The sequence below is a fragment of the Homo sapiens genome, chromosome 5 (assembly GCF_000001405.40).
Source record: "Homo sapiens chromosome 5, GRCh38.p14 Primary Assembly".
Taxonomy (NCBI): Eukaryota; Metazoa; Chordata; class Mammalia; order Primates; family Hominidae; genus Homo; species Homo sapiens.
Genome location: NC_000005.10, coordinates 180,241,371 through 180,260,637, shown reverse-complemented (window position 1 = coordinate 180,260,637; position 19,267 = coordinate 180,241,371). Strand labels below are relative to the sequence as shown.

General features: G+C 45.3%; 1 protein-coding gene and 1 pseudogene across 15 annotated transcripts in view; one reads left to right on the top strand and one right to left on the bottom strand.

The window, feature by feature from the left end:
• MAPK9 (mitogen-activated protein kinase 9) overlaps window positions 1-19,267 on the top strand; it is a 58,941-nt gene that overhangs the window by 31,446 nt on the left and 8,228 nt on the right. For 7 of the 15 annotated variants that reach the window (NM_002752.5, NM_001364608.2, NM_001364611.2 and 4 more), the window contains 3 exons: window positions 11,500-11,665; window positions 13,128-13,199; window positions 17,883-18,065. In NM_002752.5, the coding sequence (NP_002743.3) occupies window positions 11,500-11,665; window positions 13,128-13,199; window positions 17,883-18,065 (421 nt within the window). Of the gene's footprint in view, window positions 1-11,499; window positions 11,666-12,711; window positions 12,784-12,909; window positions 12,976-13,127; window positions 14,619-17,882; window positions 18,066-19,267 lie in introns of those variants that run through there. The other 8 variants (NM_139070.3, NM_001364613.2, NM_001364609.2 and 5 more) reach the window with 3 other exon arrangements.
• LOC100419721 (zinc finger protein 670 pseudogene) lies at window positions 1,927-2,958 on the bottom strand (annotated as a pseudogene).

The following is a 19,267-nucleotide window of genomic DNA, read 5'->3' as shown; positions in this document are numbered from 1 at the left end:
CAAAAAAACCCACACTACCTATTGGATTCATGTTGCTTAAAGGGTATCTACAGAATTCTCACCTCAATATTTTCGTGTTAAATAAGGTGGAAATCAACAGTCCAGAGATGGTCATTAGAAATGAGCCACTGACAAACACAATATATTTATAACTTGTATAACATTTCATTCATGTGCATGTTTTGAGCATTGTGGAATATTTAATTTGCATCAGGCTTTCCAAATTCCTTAAATTTATAAGATTTGTTCTCAGTGGGAGTTCTCAGATGACTTTTGAAATAATTATTAAAATGAAAATTTATTTGCAAACTACTAGGGTTTAGATACAGAATACCTTCTTGTATTTAAAGATCCATCTCCAGTTTGCATACATCATGTCTTTCAATGTGCCGGAGAGAAACAAAGGCATCCCCACGTTCTTTACATTTATAGGGTTTTTTAGAAATGAGTTCTTTTATGTCTTCAAGTAGAACTGGAAAGACTGAAGACACTACCACATTGTTTACATGCATAGAATTTTTCCTCAGTAGTAGTTTTGTTTCGTATTTTCAAAGGGAAATGGAAGAGTTCCATGTGCTTTTTAATGTGCTCAGAGGTAACTGGAACATATAAAGGCATCATCACATTCCTCATATGCATGTTATGTAAATTATACGGTTTTCCTCCAGTATAATTTCTTTCATGTTTTCAAAGATAACTGAATTAACTGAATGTTTTCCCCAAATCCTTACATTCTCAGGATTTCTACAGAGTATGAGTTTTTTCATGTTTACATACAGGACTGGAATATCTAAAGGCTTTGCCACATGCCTTACAGTCATAGGGTTTCTCTCCAGTTTGAGTTCTTTCATGTTTACATAGAGAACTGGAATATCTGAAGACTTCACCACATTGCAAGTCTGAAGACTTGACCACATTCCTTATAGTCAAAGGGTTTCTCTCCAGTATGAGATTTTTCATGTTTACCTAGAGAACTGGAATGTCTGGAGACTTGACCACATTCCTTACAGTCAAAGGGTTTCTCTCCAGTGTGAAATTTTTCATGTTTACATAGAGAACTGGAATGTCTGAAGACTTGACCACATCCCTTACAGTCAAAGGGTTTCTCTCCAGTGTGAGTTCTTCCGTGTTTACATAGAGAACTGGAATGTCTGAAGACTTGACCACATTCCTTACAGTCAAAGGGTTTCTCTCCAGTGTGAGATTTTTCATGTTTACATAGAGAATTGGAATGTCTGAAGACTTGACCACATCCCTTACGGTCAAAGGGTTTCTCTCCAGTGTGAGTTCTTTCATGTTTACGTAGAGAACTGGAATGTCTGAAGACTTGACCACATTCCTTACAGTCAAAGGGTTCCTCTCCAGTGTGAGTTCTTTCATGTTTACATAGAGAACTGGAATGTCTAAAGACTTGACCACATTCCTTACAGTCAAAGGGTGCCTCTCCAGTGTGAGTTCTTTCATGTTTACTTAGAGAACTGAAATGTCTAAAGACTTGACCACATTCCTTACAGTCAAAGGGTTTCTCTCTGGTATGAGATTTTTCATGTGTTCAAAGGGAGCTGGAATGCCTGAAGGTGTTACCACATTTTTTTTTTTTTTTTGAAACAGAGTCTTGCTCTGTTGCCCAGGCTGGAGTGCAGTGGTGTGATCTTGGCTCACTGCAACCTCCACCTCCCAGGTTCAAGCAGTTCTCCTGTCTCAGCCTCCCAAGTAGCTGGGATTACAGGCACCTGCCACCAAATTTGGCTATTTTTTTTTTTTTTTTTTTTTTTAGTAGAGACAGGATTTCACCATGTTGGCCAGGCTGGTCTCGAACTGCTGACCTCATGATCTGCCTGCCTCAGCCTCCCAAAGTGCTGGGATTACAGGTGTGAGCCACTGCGCCCAGCCACATTTTTTATATTCATAAGGTTTCTCTCCAGTATGAGTTCTCTCATGTGTTTGGAGGTAACTGAACCGACTGAAGCCTTTATCCCATTTTTGACATTCATTGGGTTTCTCTCCAGTATGAGTTCTTTCATGTCTTCTAAGGGAACTGTGTTGACTGAAGGCTTTGCCACATTTTTTACAGTTATAGGATTTCTCTCCAATATGTGTTCTTTGATGTCTTCACATGGAGCGGGGATGACTGAAGGCTTTGCTACATTTCTTACATTTATAGGGTTTCTCTCCAGTATTATTTCTTTTATGTTTCTGAATGGAACTGGAAAGAGTGAGTCTTTTACCATATTTCTTAAACACATGGAAGATTTTTCACATTGTGAGCTCTTTATGTCTTTGAAAGTAACTACAAAAACTGAATCGTTTCCCACATTTCCTACATTCACGGGGTTTCTCTTCAGCATGAGCACCTTTATGGTTATGAAGGTAACCAGAATGTCCAAAGGCTTTCTCACATTTCTGACATTTATAAGGTTTTTCCCCACTGTGAGTTCTTTTATGTTTTTGAAAATAACTGCAAAATCTCAAGGCTTTACCACCTTTCTTCCATTCACAGGGTTTTTCTCCGTTGTAAATTACTTTGTGTCTTTGAAGTAAATAGAGAAACTTAAATGTCTTCCCACATTTCTTACATTTATGAGGCCTGTTACCAGTGTGTGTTACCATGTGTCTTTGGACATTTGTGAGAGAAATGAAGGTTTTCTCACATTGTTTACATTTGTATGGCTTCACCCCACGTTTCTCCCATGCATGTAGTTTGTGTCCAGAATGAGATAAGATGTGCCTATTAAGGGATGAAGGACATGTGAAGACTTGTCCACACACTCTGCATTCACATGAATTTACATCAGCAGAAATTTTCTTCTTCAGGTTCAGATTTGGAATCTGGCCGAATATTTCTCCACAATGACTACCTTCTTTACATTCACAGAGTCTTTCTCCCATAGGACTTCATAAATTTTTTCCAGAATTATTGAAATGACTTTCACTGTTCTGGTCTTCCCATTTGTTTCCATTTCCTGGCTTCCAGGATTCTATGGCATCCTGCTTAGGGATCTCCAAGGTCACAGGGTGACAGTCTGTGGCAGAGCCACCTAGGGCCTCCTGGCCCGAATTTTTTCTAAAAAACAATTAAAATACTGAGTGAGACTAGAGGCAGAGATAATATAATTTTATCGGAAATAGATATTCTTAGCATTCCCTGGATTATTACTATACTAATTTTATCAACAGATTGCCATTAGATTTTATGTTCCAACAGCAAGAGGTCATCTTTTTGCTGAACTGAAATCTGTGGGGAAGAAGCTAGTGAGAGACAAGAACAGCAGAGCCTGTTACTACAGAAATAAGCAGATGGGTTTTAGATGGTGGAGTGGTAATAATTTTTTCAGATCTCTTTTGCCAGGAAAGATTGGTTCCATCACAGCCATTGAAGGCCTCCCTTGGGGGTAGAGCCCACCGACCCACAGAGGGCAGGGTTGTCTCGTCTCAAGCCTCAGGTCTGTGGCCCAAGGGCAGCGTCAGGGATAGCTCTTGTCCTCCCAGGGCTAGCTGACAGCCTCCCATCTGCCATCTAGTGTACTGTTTTTTAAAATAGAACCTTTGCTGCCATCAGATGGTCAGTTAAAATAATATATTGGTGACTTTGCTTTAAAAATAGTAACACTAGGCTTCTGAATTAAAGATCTCCTGATGTACCATTCTATTTCTGTTCCTGAAGTTTCCACAGACCTTCATATAATTTAAGGTACTCTTGATATCTCTTAAATACATTTTATTTATGCTTTAGAATAATTTCCCAGATTATTAGTCTTACTACATTAGGCCTTATTCATTTTATAAGGGGAAATGGTTTGTCTGACTTGTTCCCCCTTGGGCCCCAAGGTAAGTGGGAAACAATGGCCTCCTGTCACTGGGGGCTTTGTGAGAGCTGCAGCGTCGGCAGGCCTTTTTTATGGAATAGCCGGTGCCTGCAGCCTGAGTCAGATGGGGCCCAAAGGAGTGTTTGGTTTGCCCAGCACGAGGTATAGAAACCTAAGAAGCCTTCAGAAAATGGCCCTGTTGCCATCCCTGCCTCCTGCTCACCATCCCCACCCACCTGGCATCTTGCTGTGTCCTCTCCTCCCTGTCACCTTGTTCCCTGCTGCTTCCCACATCCATGGCCTTGCCAGGCTCTCCCCACATCTGTGTCCATGTGGGAGAGTGATGCATGCTCACTGTGGGGAAGTTCCAAACATTGCACAGGTGTATAAAGCAAAGGGGGAAACTCCCTCTTGCCCCCTGCCCCCCTGCCCCACCCCTGCCCACATCCCAGGAAGGGAGGAGCCCTAAGTTAACTGTTCTGTGTGGACTGCACCATCCTTTGTTCCATCTACAGTACCATGCACAGAGATAGACACACTTTTAATTTTGCCTATTAAAATGGTTTAATACAAAACATAAATTTTAAGTATTTGAAAGATAAAGTTTTGCCCATGATATCCCACCGAAGTATATACTTTATATAATTCAAAAAATGAAATGCAAGTAACCCAGCCCTCTGTTAGCACCTGGAGATGGCCAGTGAGAGCACGCTGGTGCATGTCCTGCCTCACTCTGCATGGCACCTCTCTGTTGACTGATGTTAACACCAGCATATCTGTACTTATGTCCTTTTGAACTTACATCCTTCAAAGACAGGATCACCTTGCATATAACTGCGTAGCAACTTCCTAAACAGGTAGCTTGGTTTGTTTTTTTAAATCAAGGATCAAATATTTCTATAAATATTTATGAAAAACAGATACCTCCACCTCTCCCTTTATTTCTCTCTCCCTAGAAGCAAACTCCTTCAGTTCATTTAGCTGATTATTTTGGTCTCTATTTCCATATTGAAATAATATGCTTAGCTCTTTCTTCATTGATCCTTTCTCAGTTTGGGGCATAAGATGCTGATTTAGCTTCTTACCAACCCAGCCCTCACCCTCGGCCTTCCTCGCCCTCCTCCCAGGCTGGTGGATGTGATGGTGTTTGGCTCGTTGCGTCATCGTGAGCGTGTAAATGCTTTGCACAGCAGACCTTCCCCTTTCACCTTTTGTTCCCTGGAGTTAACAAACACTTATACTCTATTTGTGTGAGGTTTTTGTTTGTTTTGGGGGGTAGTTTCTGTGTTCTTGGTGGTAATTCAACCCTAACTCTTCCATCAGGCATCTGAATTTTCTCTCAGCACATGTAGATGTCTTGGGTATTTCATCAGTTTCATCTTCTCAGGAACCTCTCCCAAGCCTCAGCCCTGTTCCCCTTTGCACTGGCTGCCACTGCACCTGCTCGAAGGGGCTGTCCTGGATCTCCCTTGGTGATTTTGTGGGGGTTTCCTTCATCTGCCTCCCATGTTGGATTCCTTGCTTGCTGTCCTTGTCTCTCAGATTACCCCCTTGTTTTGGTGGGACGCATCCTCCAAAAGCTTCCTAAATTGCCACAGGGGAGAGAAATTTTTTGAGGCCTCAAATGTCTGAAACTCTTTATTCTGCCCTCTCACATGATGAGTAGTGTGGTTGTGTGTAGATGTGTGTAGAATTCTTAGTTACAGATCAGTTGCGCTCAGAATGGCGGAGGCAGTGCCTGTGGTAGCAAGGCATCTAGCATGGCTCCGGAGTTTCTTAGTGCCATCTGATGTTTTTTTAGATGGAGTCTCGCTCTGTCGCCCAGGCTGGAGTGCAGTGGCATGGTCTTGGCTCAGTGCAAACTCTGCCTCTCGGGTTCACGCCATTCTCCTGCCTCAGCCTCCCTAGTGGCTAGGACTGCAGGCGTCCGCCACCACGCCCAGCTAATTTTTTGTATTTTTAGTAGAGACAGGGTTTCACCTTGTTACCCAGGATGGTCTCGATCTCCTGACCTCGTGATCCGCCCGCCTCGGCCTCCCAAAGTGCTGGATTACAGGCATGAGCCACTGTGCCTGGCTGATGACTAACCTTTTTTAAGTGCTGTGGTTTTGGGTTTTGGTTTGGTTTTATCTCTGGAAACTTTTAAACTCAGTTATTTATTCCTTGTATTCTGAGATGTTTTGATGTATGCCTTGATGTGGGCATTTTTTCTTTAGTTTTGCTGGGCACTTGGCCTTCAGTCTGGAAGCACATATTATAGAGGTCTGAGAAATTTATATCATTTCTTTCAGAATGTCCTCTTAACTCCATTCTTTATTCTTTTTCTCTGAAGCACGAGTTAATTGACACTCATTTGCTCTTAAAAGTTCCTTTTTACAGCATTCTGTTCTTGTTGCATGTATATACTATCATCTCTGAGGATAAGCTTTTGTTGAAGGGTTTTATCACTCCCTGCATTGTCTTTCTCTACTGAGAGTTCCCTTTTTAGTGTGTTAGGTCCCTCCCTGTCACACGCAAGGCTTTCCCCAAATGTCTGGTTGGATCATGTTTAAGATTGAAACATTAGGCCAAGCACGGTGGCTCATGCCAGTAATCCCAGCACTTTGGGAGACTGAGGCGGGCAGATCACCTGAGGTCAAGAGTTCGACACCAGCCTGGTCAACATGGTGAAACTCTGTCTCTACTAAAAATATAAAAATTAGCTGGGCGTGGTGGCAGGTGCCTATAATCCCAGCTAGTCAGGAGACTGAGGCAGGAGAATTTCTTGAACCCAGGAAGCGGAGGTTGCAGTGAGCTGAGATAGTGCCATTGCACTCCAGCCTGAGCAACAAGATCGAGACTTCGTCTCAAAAAAAAAAAAAAAAAAAAGAGATTGAAGCATTAAAGGCTGACTGGAAGTACTGAGTGAATGGGTAAATTGTTAAAGAATGGGTGTCTCTTGGACCACAGGCAGCCACAGGTGTCACCTTCTGTAGGTTTTTTCTCTGGGCACCATTTAATTTCTCTGGAAAAGGCCCCTTCAGTCCCTTGGTGGAGGGATGTAAGCCTGGCTGCTGGGGTACAGGGCTGTGCTTCTCATGTGGCAGAGCGCAAACTCACCAGGCAGCCCTGTTGCAGGCAGGCCTCACCGTGCCTTCCCTGTTGGTACCCACAGGACTGTGCATGCGGCGCCTGTGGCCCTGCACCTGGAAGCTGGGCATCAGTTTCTCTGCGTGAAGGGCCAGCAGGAGTGAGGAAGGAGTGGAGCCTCACTTCTGGGATGGAGATGGGGATCTGGGACATCTACTACGTACTTGGACTTTCAATAAAATGAAAACTTCTCCAAGTGCTACCCTTGCCTCTTCTGCCTCCATAGCACCTGCATTTCACTTGCTGAGCCTTTCCTGGGTGTCGTGGCCATTTATAGAGGTTGGCATTTCCTTCGCTCAGCTAGGGCATTTGGGCGGCCCTGCAGCTTCCTGTCCCTGTAGCGTGGGGCTTTTCGTGGGCGGCTTCCGCATGCCACGGTGGGTTAGACAGGCGAGGGACTGGCCGGGAGGAGGCCTGTGCGAGAAGGAAGGGGGAGCAGCCAGAGGAGGCAGCAAATGCTAGCTGAACGTAGTGCAGTCCTGGCCCCTCAGAGGCCTGGTCCAGACTGCGGTGCAGCTCTGAGGGCCTCCGGTGTCACACAGGAACGGGCCTGCCTCAGCATCCCTGCCCGGTCGGCCCCTGGCTGACGGCTCTGTGGGAGGTGTGCCCTGGCAGGGACAGAGGGTAGGTGCAGACACCACACTGGGCCATCTGTCACTCTCACTCCTGTGGCGGGAGACCAAGGAGTGCATTTCCGTGGACCCCACAGTCCACCCTGGCCCCCTCAGCTCTACTTCTCCACATAAGTTGGGAATGGCTTTCCTGTGGCGCCCATGGTTCTCTCTTCCTCAGGGGAAATCTGGAAGACAGAGGTTAGTGGGACACCCTGTAGTCCCTGTCACTGTGGTCTCTCTGCTGGCTCTTTCCCTACCCTTTCCTGTTATTCATACCCTCAGCTCTCACATTGGCAGGCCTCTGTGGCTTGCCTGGCCTGTGTCCCAGGCCTTCATTCCTGAGCCGTCTGTGTCTGGTGGCTCTCAGTGGGCCACAGGGTCCCAGGCCACCCAGTGGCCGTCTCCCCAGTCCTCAGTGTGTAGCCGGAGCGGAGGCGCTTGGCAGGTGGAGTAACGCCCACACGAGTTCCTTGGCCTGTGAGTAAGAGTCGTCACAGTGGGAAGGCCAAATGGAAACCTGAAACTGCCCCCAAGATAGTAAATCAAAAACAAGATCACACCCTGCAGGGCCCGGGGTGGGTGGAGGAGACTAGGGCCACCATGGAAGCCTCAGGGGAGCAGAGACAGTGGTATCTTGCATCCCAGTCTAACTCGTTAGTCCAGCCCTTGAAGAAGCTGCATGGATTCTGGAGAATGACCCCAGACGGCCACAGGCTTACGGCACTGGCAGTCCTGGCCGCAGCTGCTGTGCATGTCAAGGTGCAGTTGTTGCTGGAGCAGATTAATAAGGCCTCAGGTCTGGCATGTTGATGGGGCAAATGCATCCTCCACACTGATTAGAAGAGAGGCCCAGACAGCGCCCACACTGCTGCAGGCTGGACAGCAATGTTCTCTCACAGCCTTGCTCTAAGCCTTTGCTAACGTTCCCACCCTCCCATAACATGGCCGCAAGAGACCTGGCCCAGACTTCACTTATGCCCTGACCCCTGACCCCTGACCCCACGAACCCTGCAAGTGGAGGAGCCCTGAGAGTGTTTGGGGTCTTCGGGTTTCAGTGTCTACTTAGAGCTGTGTCCATTCATCCTCAAGAGTGCCTGGCTGTTCTTACCCGGTGGGTGGCCACAGGTACCTGTGGGGAAGGACCGGCAAGGCCAGACAGTGGACACCTGTCATGATGTGCTCCTTCCTGGGATACCTCTCAAGCAGTGGGTCTGGATCCCAGAGTTGAGCGGGCAGTGGGGGAGGTCAGCACCTGCCCCACTCATGCTGCGGGTGCTGTGGGTACCCTCACTGCTGCCCACAGGGTAGCGTTGGGTTCCAGGCATTTTGGGAGCCAAGCCCCGATCCAGGCGTCACTTGGATCTGTACTTGGCATTTGTCTTCTTTGTTCTGAGTGATTTTCAAGACTTGAAGGGGCAGAACTGTCTTTCCTCTGCTGTCTTGAAATTGAAGTGAGGTGTTGGGAAGCTGCCTCAGGTTGTATTTCGGGGGTGACTAGAGAGGGTCCCAGGGTGCGGGGAGAGCACCTCCTTAGCCACCTCCCCATTGGCCACACAGAGCACCCACACAAGCTTGGGACTTTATCACCACAGTCTTCCAGCAGACGGCAGTAAAGTGTGCTTTTCCTGTTAAATTAGTATGTGATGACAGTTTTTTGACAGATGGCAGTGTCTTCAGATGAGCGTGTTTCTGGCGCACTGGGGTTCACAGAGCTGGCAGGCAGCCCGTGGAGATGGTTCCACTGCTGCGTCTGTCCTTGGTAGAACCAGGCTGTCCTTGTCTTCCTTGCTCCTGCGGCCGTGCTGTTAGTTCTGGGTGGGCTGGGCTTCAGGGCCTGCTGGCTGGGGAAGTGTGTGCATTTCACACCTCAGAAATCAGCCTCCTGGAGAGAAAGTGCCCACTGCACACCCTCTGTGGCCTGAGGAAGCGCCTGTTTCTGCTTCTCCCGCCAGCACCGAGTCTGCTTGCTTTCCATCGCTGCCAAGTGATAGACTAAAAATGGGCATTCATTTTGGGTTTTTAAAGAAGATTTTTGTGAGATTGAGCATTATTTTATCTGTTAGTAATTTATGTTCTAAAATGCCTGTTCTTGTCATACTCTTTGATTTTAAAAAAGGAAACAAGAAGCGAATTCGTTCATTTGGTCTTAGCTCCCTGACTTGGTCCTCACAGCGGAGCGTCCCTGGTTGAATGTGGGCTGCTTCTCCCTGGCTTTCCTTCATGCAGGGAGGCAGCCCGGTTTCTTCCTCTCAGGCCTTTCTGGGAACCGGGGGTGTCTGCACAGTACTCTAAGGTGGAATGGAGGGGCTGGGGGCCTCTTTTTGGGGCCAGGTAGAGATTGTGACTGCATTTTTAAACATTATATGTTTATCATTTAAATCTTACAGAATCTAGGAAGCCTAGAAACAGGTCACTTAGCAGCATGGCAGTGTAATTGTACCTGTTGTCAATGTCGAAATGGCTTCCTGCTTGCCCTGATGACAGCCCCACAGCCTTCACTGAGGCATGCCGCCTGCAACCCCCCTTGTGGCCCATCAGTTGGGGTGTCTTACAGGCAGGTGCTAGGCAGTGCTACTGAACCTGCAACTTCCTGGGTAAAGTATCCTCATGCCTTACGCCATGTCAGTGGCTTGGCAGTTTGACATTGCAGGTGCACTACTCTTGTGAAAAGAATGGGTGTGGGTTGTTTACAAGTCACAGTTTCTCAAGTGAGTTTGCAGGCCGAAGTCCCCAGGCAAAAGTCAAATTCCTAAGGCCTGAGGAAGGGGCTAGGGTGGAGGATCAGCAGGAAGAAAATCCCTTAGTTATGAGGGAAAAGGTTGCAGAAGTTGTGTTAAGGCTTTGCAAGTCAGGTGGAATATGATGCATGTCTTCATTCTGCAGACACTTCCCAAGTGTCTGCTCGCGCCAGGCGTGCTTCTGAGTGCTGAGAGCTCACACAGAGTCAGCACTGGGGAGGGAAGAGAGGTGGCAACCAGAACATGAGCAGGTGAGTTTTTGTGCCACGTACAGATGGAGACAGCAGCACCAGTGCTGGCGTGTCTTTGTGGCGAAGGTGAGAAGATTGGAGGTGGATGATCATGGAATTGCTCTTCCAAGGAGAGAAAGAGCCATGGGAAGATTCCAGGATCAGACGATTCTAGACCTGTGCTGTCCAGTATGGCAGCCACTAACCACAGGAGGCTGTGGAGCACTCAGGATGTGGCCGTGCTGCAGTTGTAAAATACATACTGGACTTCAAAGGCTCAGTACTAAAAAGAGAATGTAAAATATCTCAGTATTTTTCTTATGTTGATTACATTTTGAAATGATAATATTATGGATATATTGGGTTAAAAAAATATACTGTATGATTAAAATTAATTTCACCTATTTCTGCATGCTGTTGAGCATGGCTAGTAGAAAATGTAAATTATACACATCGTTCGCATTATATGACATTGTCTGTGGGACAGCACTGCCCTGGACTGACAGACAGCATGAGGACCTTAGCAAGAGAGAGTCAGAGTATTGGGGAACTCAAGTCCAGGCGTGGAGAGCAGGAGGGGGCCGTGTGTGCTGGACTGACAGCATGAGGACCTTAGCAAGAGAGAGTCAGAGTATTGGGGAACTCAAGTCCAGGCGTGGAGAGCGGGAGGGGGGCATGTGTGCTGGACGTGTAGATGCATGGATGGAGGGTAGATAGGACAGCCTGAGGGCCTGCGAGACCACAGAAAGGGCAAATGGGGGCCATGAAGGTTTCCACTGGGGGTAAGGGGCACCATCTGACGGCTTTAGGCTGATTTGTTTTAGTTTCAATTTGAGAGTAAGATTTTCCAAAGTTGTTCCCAAATCTCAGAGTTCAGTTCACTCCCTACACTCTCACACTGGCTTCACGACCCTCACGGATGTGAAGTAGTTTATTTAGCATGCTTCATTCATTTTACTAATTTAAGCCATTTCTTTCCTAGGATTTGAAGCCTAGCAACATTGTTGTGAAATCAGACTGCACCCTGAAGATCCTTGACTTTGGCCTGGCCCGGACAGCGTGCACTAACTTCATGATGACCCCTTACGTGGTGACACGGTACTACCGGGCGCCCGAAGTCATCCTGGGTATGGGCTACAAAGAGAACGGTGAGTATAGCCGGGGCTGGAAGAGGCTGGGATGTTTAGAAATTGCTCTAGCGGTGGTCTCGAGTTTTTTCTCTTTCCTTTGAACCATATGATATATACTGTGGGGACTGTTACACCCAGAATATAGCATGATCCAGAGATAAGAAATAATTAATTGTGTTTTTCCATTGGTTAAAATCATTCTCTTTTAAAAATTCACTTTTAAAATTGTTATTTTTGAACTTTTTAATCAGAGTTAAGCTGTCTATAGCCAAGTGTGCAAATCCTGAGTGTGCAGCTCAGCTGAGGTGAGCACACCCACAGCAGCAGCAGCTCTGGCCTCCCCATGGCCCCTCCTCGCAGCCCACGAGGCTGGCCAATCTCCTGATCTCCAGTACCATGGATCAGCTTTATTTGTTGGTCTGCATATTGTTTTTTTGAATTTGATGTAAATAGAATAACACATGTTTTCATGTAAAATTGGTGTCTTTTTACATCAAAACTTAGCTTATTCTAGCAATATCAGAGCTCTTTGAAACTTGGCTTTTAGCAAATTTGTTGAAAATAACGAAATCACGCTTACTTATTTTTAAAAAGACTGAAAGTTTGCCCGGGTCATCTGAAATGAGTTTTGCTACAGGTTCATCTTGCTGCGTTGTAGCTTGTGTTCCCACCCTGAGGGGCACAGCTTCATGTGCTTCCTGTGGAGGGGAGAGAAAACTTGATCCCCTGTTCACTTCTCCCCTCGGCCCGCCAGCAGGGCACTTAGAGGCCTCTGCTGTCTGTCTGAGGCCCCACAGATGAGGGTGGGCACCGTGGAAGTCTGGGCCCCTCTAGCAGGGCCTCACCTGCAGTCCTGCAAGCCAGCCAGCCTGTGCCGCCAGTGAGTGCTGCTGCCTTTCTGACGGGGCAGTCTAGAAAATGATCGCTCAGGAGGTGTGGTATCAACAACGCACAGAGGCTCCCGCCGGCAAGCTAGTGACGTGTACCGGGTTTGTCCTGGGAGGGGGTTTGAAGAAAAAAGATGGGGGACTCTAGCTGGTTTTTAATCCCCTGGTGTTTGGTAGTGGACATCTGGTCTGTCGGGTGCATCATGGCAGAAATGGTCCTCCATAAAGTCCTGTTCCCGGGAAGAGACTGTATCCTTCACAGGGGACCCGGTACTTGGCCATGGAGGCTGGGGTGGGCGTGTGGCCCTGAAAAGCTTTGTGTTCACAGGCACTTCTTGTTTCTGGTTTTTTGTTTGTTTGTTTGTTTGTTTTAAGCTATAAAGTATTGGACTCTTTGGCACTAAAACCCCAGATTGCTACAAACCGAAGGCTAAAATAGAGGTCAGCAATCATTCATATTGTGTAAAATGTCACCCTTAGCTAGCAATTTATTTTTCCATATTTGTGTGTTTAGTGCACTGTTAGAATTCCTTTTCCTCACTTTTGTTTTGTTCATGGCACTTCATAATTTTATCATTTCATTTTATTTTCAGTTGATATCTGGTCAGTGGGTTGCATCATGGGAGAGCTGGTGAAAGGTTGTGTGATATTCCAAGGCACTGACCGTATCCTTCCCCGCGACCTTGGCCCCGCCATGCTTTCTTAATGCCTCAGGCAGCATGACCACCTGCTTACACGAGCGCTCACGAGGACAAAGTCGTAAAATCCACTCCAGACTGTGTTCTAAGGGGGGCTTTACTGTATTTGTTAATTAGTGTCACAAGCCAAGTGGTTCAATTTCATTCTTTATTTTTAACTTGACTACCTGTGATGACTTTGAGACTTAGAGTTCAGTTAAACCGATTATATTAGCTCTTAATTTTGCCAAAAATAGCTGGACACATAGAAGAAATTATTTACTCTTTGATAAGTATATTCTGATATTTAAATGAAAATACTGTATTATTTAGTTTATTCCGTTAATTTAACTAGGAAAGATGCTATCTAAATTTAATAGGCTAGTGTGCTTGTGTGCTTTAATTAAGTACTATTTTGTTAGTTACTGGTATGCATTGAAATATTTTCCCCCAAAGTAAGAACTGAAGCACATTACAAAGGACCTAAGTGAAAGAGATTAAAATGAAAATTTTGTGAGGAACAATATGTTAAACTTTCTTGTTTGTTACTGTGCTGACATTTTGTAGAATTTTTTTTAAAAATCTGTCTAGTGGGTTATTTTGTGACACACTGGGGAAGTCAAAATAAATGTAAAATGAAAGAGATAAACTCATACTGTAGTCAGCAAGTCATGTTAGAGATACAGCAGAAAGGAGAATAACTACTCTAATTGTTACAATAGCCTTCTTTCCTCATTTGCCATTCTTCCATCCTCAGTATTTTTTACCCTAACATGGTTCTTCACATCTTCCCTTTTTCATTTGTGTTTTAACCACTTAGTTTTTCATTAGTCTTTGACTTTGTTTTCGTTATGAAAGTTTAAATTGGTCTCCATCCTTGGGCAGATTGATGGTTGCTTTTAAGGAAATCAAGCTCCATAGTCAGTGTTTTGTATGTATCTTAGGAAAATAATTTCAGATTTTAATAATTTTATCAAAGTGGTCTCCTTATAAATTCTTCACAGTGCAAACTTAAAGTGAAAATATTTTTATTTCTCTCATTTTATTTACCTTTCTTTACATTTTCTATATCATAGATTATATAATATGTCAAGTTATTTTATTTGTTCTACTAAATTTTCTAGCAGTTTCCATAGCCTCATCTCAGATTCACTTGTTGCAACCTATAAATAAGGACGTCTTTATTTTGCAAGTAAACTTAATTAAAAAGGGAAAAGTTGAAAAATTAAAAGACTAATAATTTAGAAATATCTACTTAATGTTCAGTTTGTCTCAATTCTTACTCATTTTGTGCCATTCCTTGTTTTATTACAAAATGTTTTCTTCAAAAAGTACAAAAATGAAAAATGTGAGTACTTTTTGGTGCATTTTAGTAAGTAAAATTAAAATTCCTGCTATACATATGAACATTAATGTCAGTAATTAATAGTGTTATATATAAGGTTACCTAATGTTATTCCCAAAAGCCACACAGAGTTTAACATCATTTTCTAAAGAAAATTTTGCCAACTCTTTCAAATATTAGATTGAAATTTGGGAGATAGAAAAAAGTTGCAGAAATCAGACTGAGGGTCTCAGAGATTTGCTTTAATTTGCGACCCAGGGTAGAAAAGGAACTCCTGTCCCTGCGGTGGTCTATGAGAAAGAGAAAGCTTTAGCCCGGCCACCTCGGGCCCCAGCTCAGACTCCTCCCCTTGGCAGCCATGCATCCTTGAGAAATTTAGGGCCTCTCTGAGCCTTGGTTTCCCCTTCTGTAAAATAGACCTGTGGTCTGCCTGCAGCTTCACGAGAGTTAGACAACAGGGTCCACTGGGCTTGTCGGAATTATTGTTCCCCTTCCCCCGTCCCTCTCATCTGTCCCCCATCCCTCCCACCTGTAGGATGCTGGGGTGGAGTCCTCTCGGGGAATCTGTGGGTCTCCTCTCACAACTGGTTTAATTTCTAGTCCTTTATCATTAACCCAGCAGATATTTCTCTCACCTGCCCATTTCTGGGTGCCTAGTCTGACTGAGATGCAAAGAGGCTCCTCCCAGCTGCTGAATTGAGGGTGGATCGTCAAGGGCAGGGCAGAGCAGGAGAACAGAGCAGAGGCTGCCATCATCCAGAGGAGAGGTGGAGGCCCCCAGCAGGCGGGTAGGGGTGTGGCCGGGGAGATGGGCTTGTACTCTGCTTTGAAGCTGGACCCTTCAAGGAGCCTTGCTAGGGTTTGGAGATGTCTGTTAGACAGTGGAATTTAGGGGCAAGGTCTGGGATAGAGAGATCAAAGTGGGTGTCATCCGTCTGTCGGTAGCCTTGAAGCCTAGGACTGGTAGCGAGCACTTGCAGGGGAGGAAGAGACCAGGACCCGGGACTTAGCCCCCTTGAGGTGGAGGGACAAAGGGAATAGGGAAGGAAATGGAGAAGGCACTCACGTGACCCCTCCTCCTAGAGTGTGGTGACTGAGGGAGGCTCATTCACATGAGGAGATGAGGACGGGGGATTGGCCCCTGGGCCTTGTGATGGCTGCTGGCAGCCATGATGGGCACAGCATTTATGGAGTGGAGGGAAGAAAGCCTGATGGGAGTATGTTTGAGAGAAAATGAGAGGCTGGGAATTAGAGACACAAGTGTAGACAGCTCTTTTTTCTTTCCTTTTTTTTTTTTTTTTTTCCTTTGAGACAGAGTCTCACTCCATTGCCCAGGCTGGAGGGCAGCGATGCGATCTCAGCTCACTGCAACCTCTACCTCCTGGGTTCAAGCGATTCTTCTGCCTCAGCCTCCCGAGTAGCTGGGATTACAGGCGCCCGCCACCACGCCTGGCTAATTTTTGTATTTTTAGTAGGGCCAGGGTTTCACCGTCTTGGCCAGGCTGGTCTTGAACACCTGACCTTGTGATCCACCTGCCTCGGCCTCCCAAAGTGCCGGGATTACAGGTGTGAGCCACTGAGCCCGACCGACAGCTCTTTATGGAAGTTTTTGCTGCAAATAGGAATAAGAAATAAAGCGATAGGTAGGGCCAAAGGAAAGCAGCTACTGTGTTAACATAGGAGAAAACACCATCATTTACCAACGTGGTGGAATGTATTGGTAGAGTGCAAAATGTCGATGATGTTGGAGAAGGAAGAGTTGAGGGAGCTTGTCCTTGAGTCAGGGGGGTTAGGGTCTAGAGCTGAGCAGGCTTAGTGTAGCCGGGAGCCCAGATGGTTGCTGTGTGGCAAATGGCACACAGATGCTGGGTGGGTGCATCCTGGGAAGTCTGTGGGAGTGAGCAGGCAGAAGAGGTATCAAAAGTATAAGGTGGGCTGGGCGCAGTGGCTCACACCTATAATCCCAGCACTTTGGGAGGCCGAGGCAGGCAGATCACTTGAGGCCAGGAATTCCAGACCAGCCTGGCCAACATGGCGAAACCCCATCTCTACTAAAAATAACAAAAATTAGCCGACCGTTATGGCAGGTGCCTGTAGTCCCAGCTACTTGGGAGGCTGAGGCACGAGAATTACTTGAGCCCGGGAGGTGGAGGTTGCAGTCAGCCGAGATCATGCCACTGCACTCCAGCCTGGGCGACAGAGCGAGACTCTGTCTTTATTTATATATGTATATATGGCAGAAGGAAAAGGTGTGAGACAGTTTTCACATTTTGGCTAAATAGGTAAATAAAATGTGGGCATAATTCTGATTTGACAATATGTATGAACCAGGAGTAGGAAGGAGAATTTGCTAGTGAATTGAATGCCAGAAACACATTTCCTGAGCGGGTCTTTTGGAAGTATAACATTTTGGAAGAACTGAGTTCATGTACCAGTTCCCTAGGTTATTTCATGGTGATGTAAGTTCATTTTTCTAAGACATGCCTCAGTGAGCACTTTTTTAAGCTGCTGTTGATGCTATTTTTTTCTCACTTGCATTCTCTTGTATAGCGAGTACAGTTTCAGTGTCACTTTCCCACATGTAATCCTAATTATCCCAAGCCTAACAAGCACCCTGTGGAATAGGCAAAGCTGGTAATGTCTGCATTGAACAAATAAGGAAACAGACCCCAAGGAAGCCTGACTTTCCTGACACACTGAGTGTTTAATGCAGAGTTGAGTCTGAAACCCAGGTCACGCACTTTGAAAGGAAATAAAATGCATTACCTAGGGATCGCAGTGATGGTTGGGAAGAGTCAGTTCCAAGTAAAATAGAGCATCATTTGAAAGCTGTCGCTGGGCTCAGTCTAAGCCCAGTTGCTTGGTTCCCAGCTGTAAACTGAGGAGGTCAGATAGGTCTCTCCACAGGTCCCTTGAGATCCTCTGTTCTTTAGAGAGCTGTGAATGAATCTAAGGTAGCATTAGTATGAAAACTGATTTCAATTTGCTTATGTAATGTTTATCTAATTTCGTGTTTAATCATTTTTGCTATAGGTATTCTTAGTTATAAGATAAACTTTATTTTGAACTAGAGTGGGAAGGTGTGTAGACTTCATTGTGTTGATTTAATAAACTGTGATCATAGTTTATGAAGATGCAGAGTGTGAGAGTTTTAAAAAATAGTGTAACTTGGAAACCCAAACCTTATTTGAATATTATTTCAAAATTCCGCTGCTGATCCAGTGGGGTGGCCTAGTCGATAGGTTTAAATATTATTCAAGTGATGCTGCCGCATGTACTGTGAATACAAGGTACTTCAGTTGTATTTTCCTCAAGAAACTCCTTAGATATTGATCAGTGGAATAAAGTTATTGAGCAGCTGGGAACACCATCAGCAGAGTTCATGAAGAAACTTCAGCCAACTGTGAGGAATTATGTCGAAAACAGACCAAAGTATCCTGGAATCAAATTTGAAGAACTCTTTCCAGATTGGATATTCCCATCAGAATCTGAGCGAGACAAAATAAAAAGTAAGATATCCTTTTTTTCTTATACTTGTGTTTTGTAATTCAGGTGGTGCTTTCACTCTTTCATGTTTGTATTCTAAAAACCTGTGTTTTGGGAGAGAAAGTCATTTTAGGCCTGAAGTCTGAGGTACGAAGGCACTGAGGAGAGAAAGCTTAAAGGTCTAGAAGCTTTATCCTCTATAAGACGGCTTAATTGAAGCCTTTGGCCAAAATAAAAATAATCAAATCAGTCTGAAAGAATCTTATGTTACAGTTACAGCAACTGGAATTCAAAAAGTTTTCAGGTAAGAAGAACACTTAATGCAGATTCTAGAGTCAGAAGCGATGTGACAGTTGTTCGATGAAAAAGGTCCTTCCTCCCCACCTTCTCCTGCACCCTTTACTACAGTGTGATTGTTTAAGGAAAAAGAAAAGATTTGATTCTGTCCGCATGAAGGTAAACTGTGCCTTAATCAGAAAAGCCCCAGTCTTTGCTTATTCAGGTTGTGAACTTTAATTGACAAAACCTAGGTGAGCCTTATATTTAACTAAGTTATTGAACTTGTTTTTCTTTTTCCTAAATACCAATCTGTAGATTAAAAAAAAAAGTGTAAGTTGCCAGCACTGTATACAGCTAGGCCAGCCAGAAGCATCTGTGAGTGTTTTATCCTGTGGGAATGTGAGATTGTTGTGTGGTTTGAAAAGTCTGTTCTAATTTCATTTCGATGTGACTTAGAGAAAAATACTCCCCCGTGCCTCATGCCCACACTCTGGGCAGTGCCACCCGCAGCTCGGCAATTGCCACCTTCCTTGCTGTGGTTTCCCAGCCTTGGGCCCTGCCCAGACATTGGTCTGAGGCTGCCTGGTGCTCTTCCCCACCACCCTGGGAGCCCAGGTTTCTCTTCCCCTTGCAGATCCAGAGGCGTAAAACTACATTTGGAAACCTGGTTTGTCATGAAAGTGGACATTTGACTTTTTCTTAAAAATGTTTGGGTTATGGCTGGGTGCGGCGGCTCACGCCTGTAATCCCAGCACTTTGGGAGGCTGAGGCAGGCGGATCACGAGGTCAAGAGATCGAGACCATCCTGCCTAACACAGTGAAACCCTGTCTCTACTAAAAAAATACAAAAAATTATCCGGGCATGGTGGCAGACGCCTGTAGTCCCAGCTGCTTGGGAGGCTGAGGTAGGAGAATGGCGTGAACCCGGGAGGTGGAACTTGCAGTG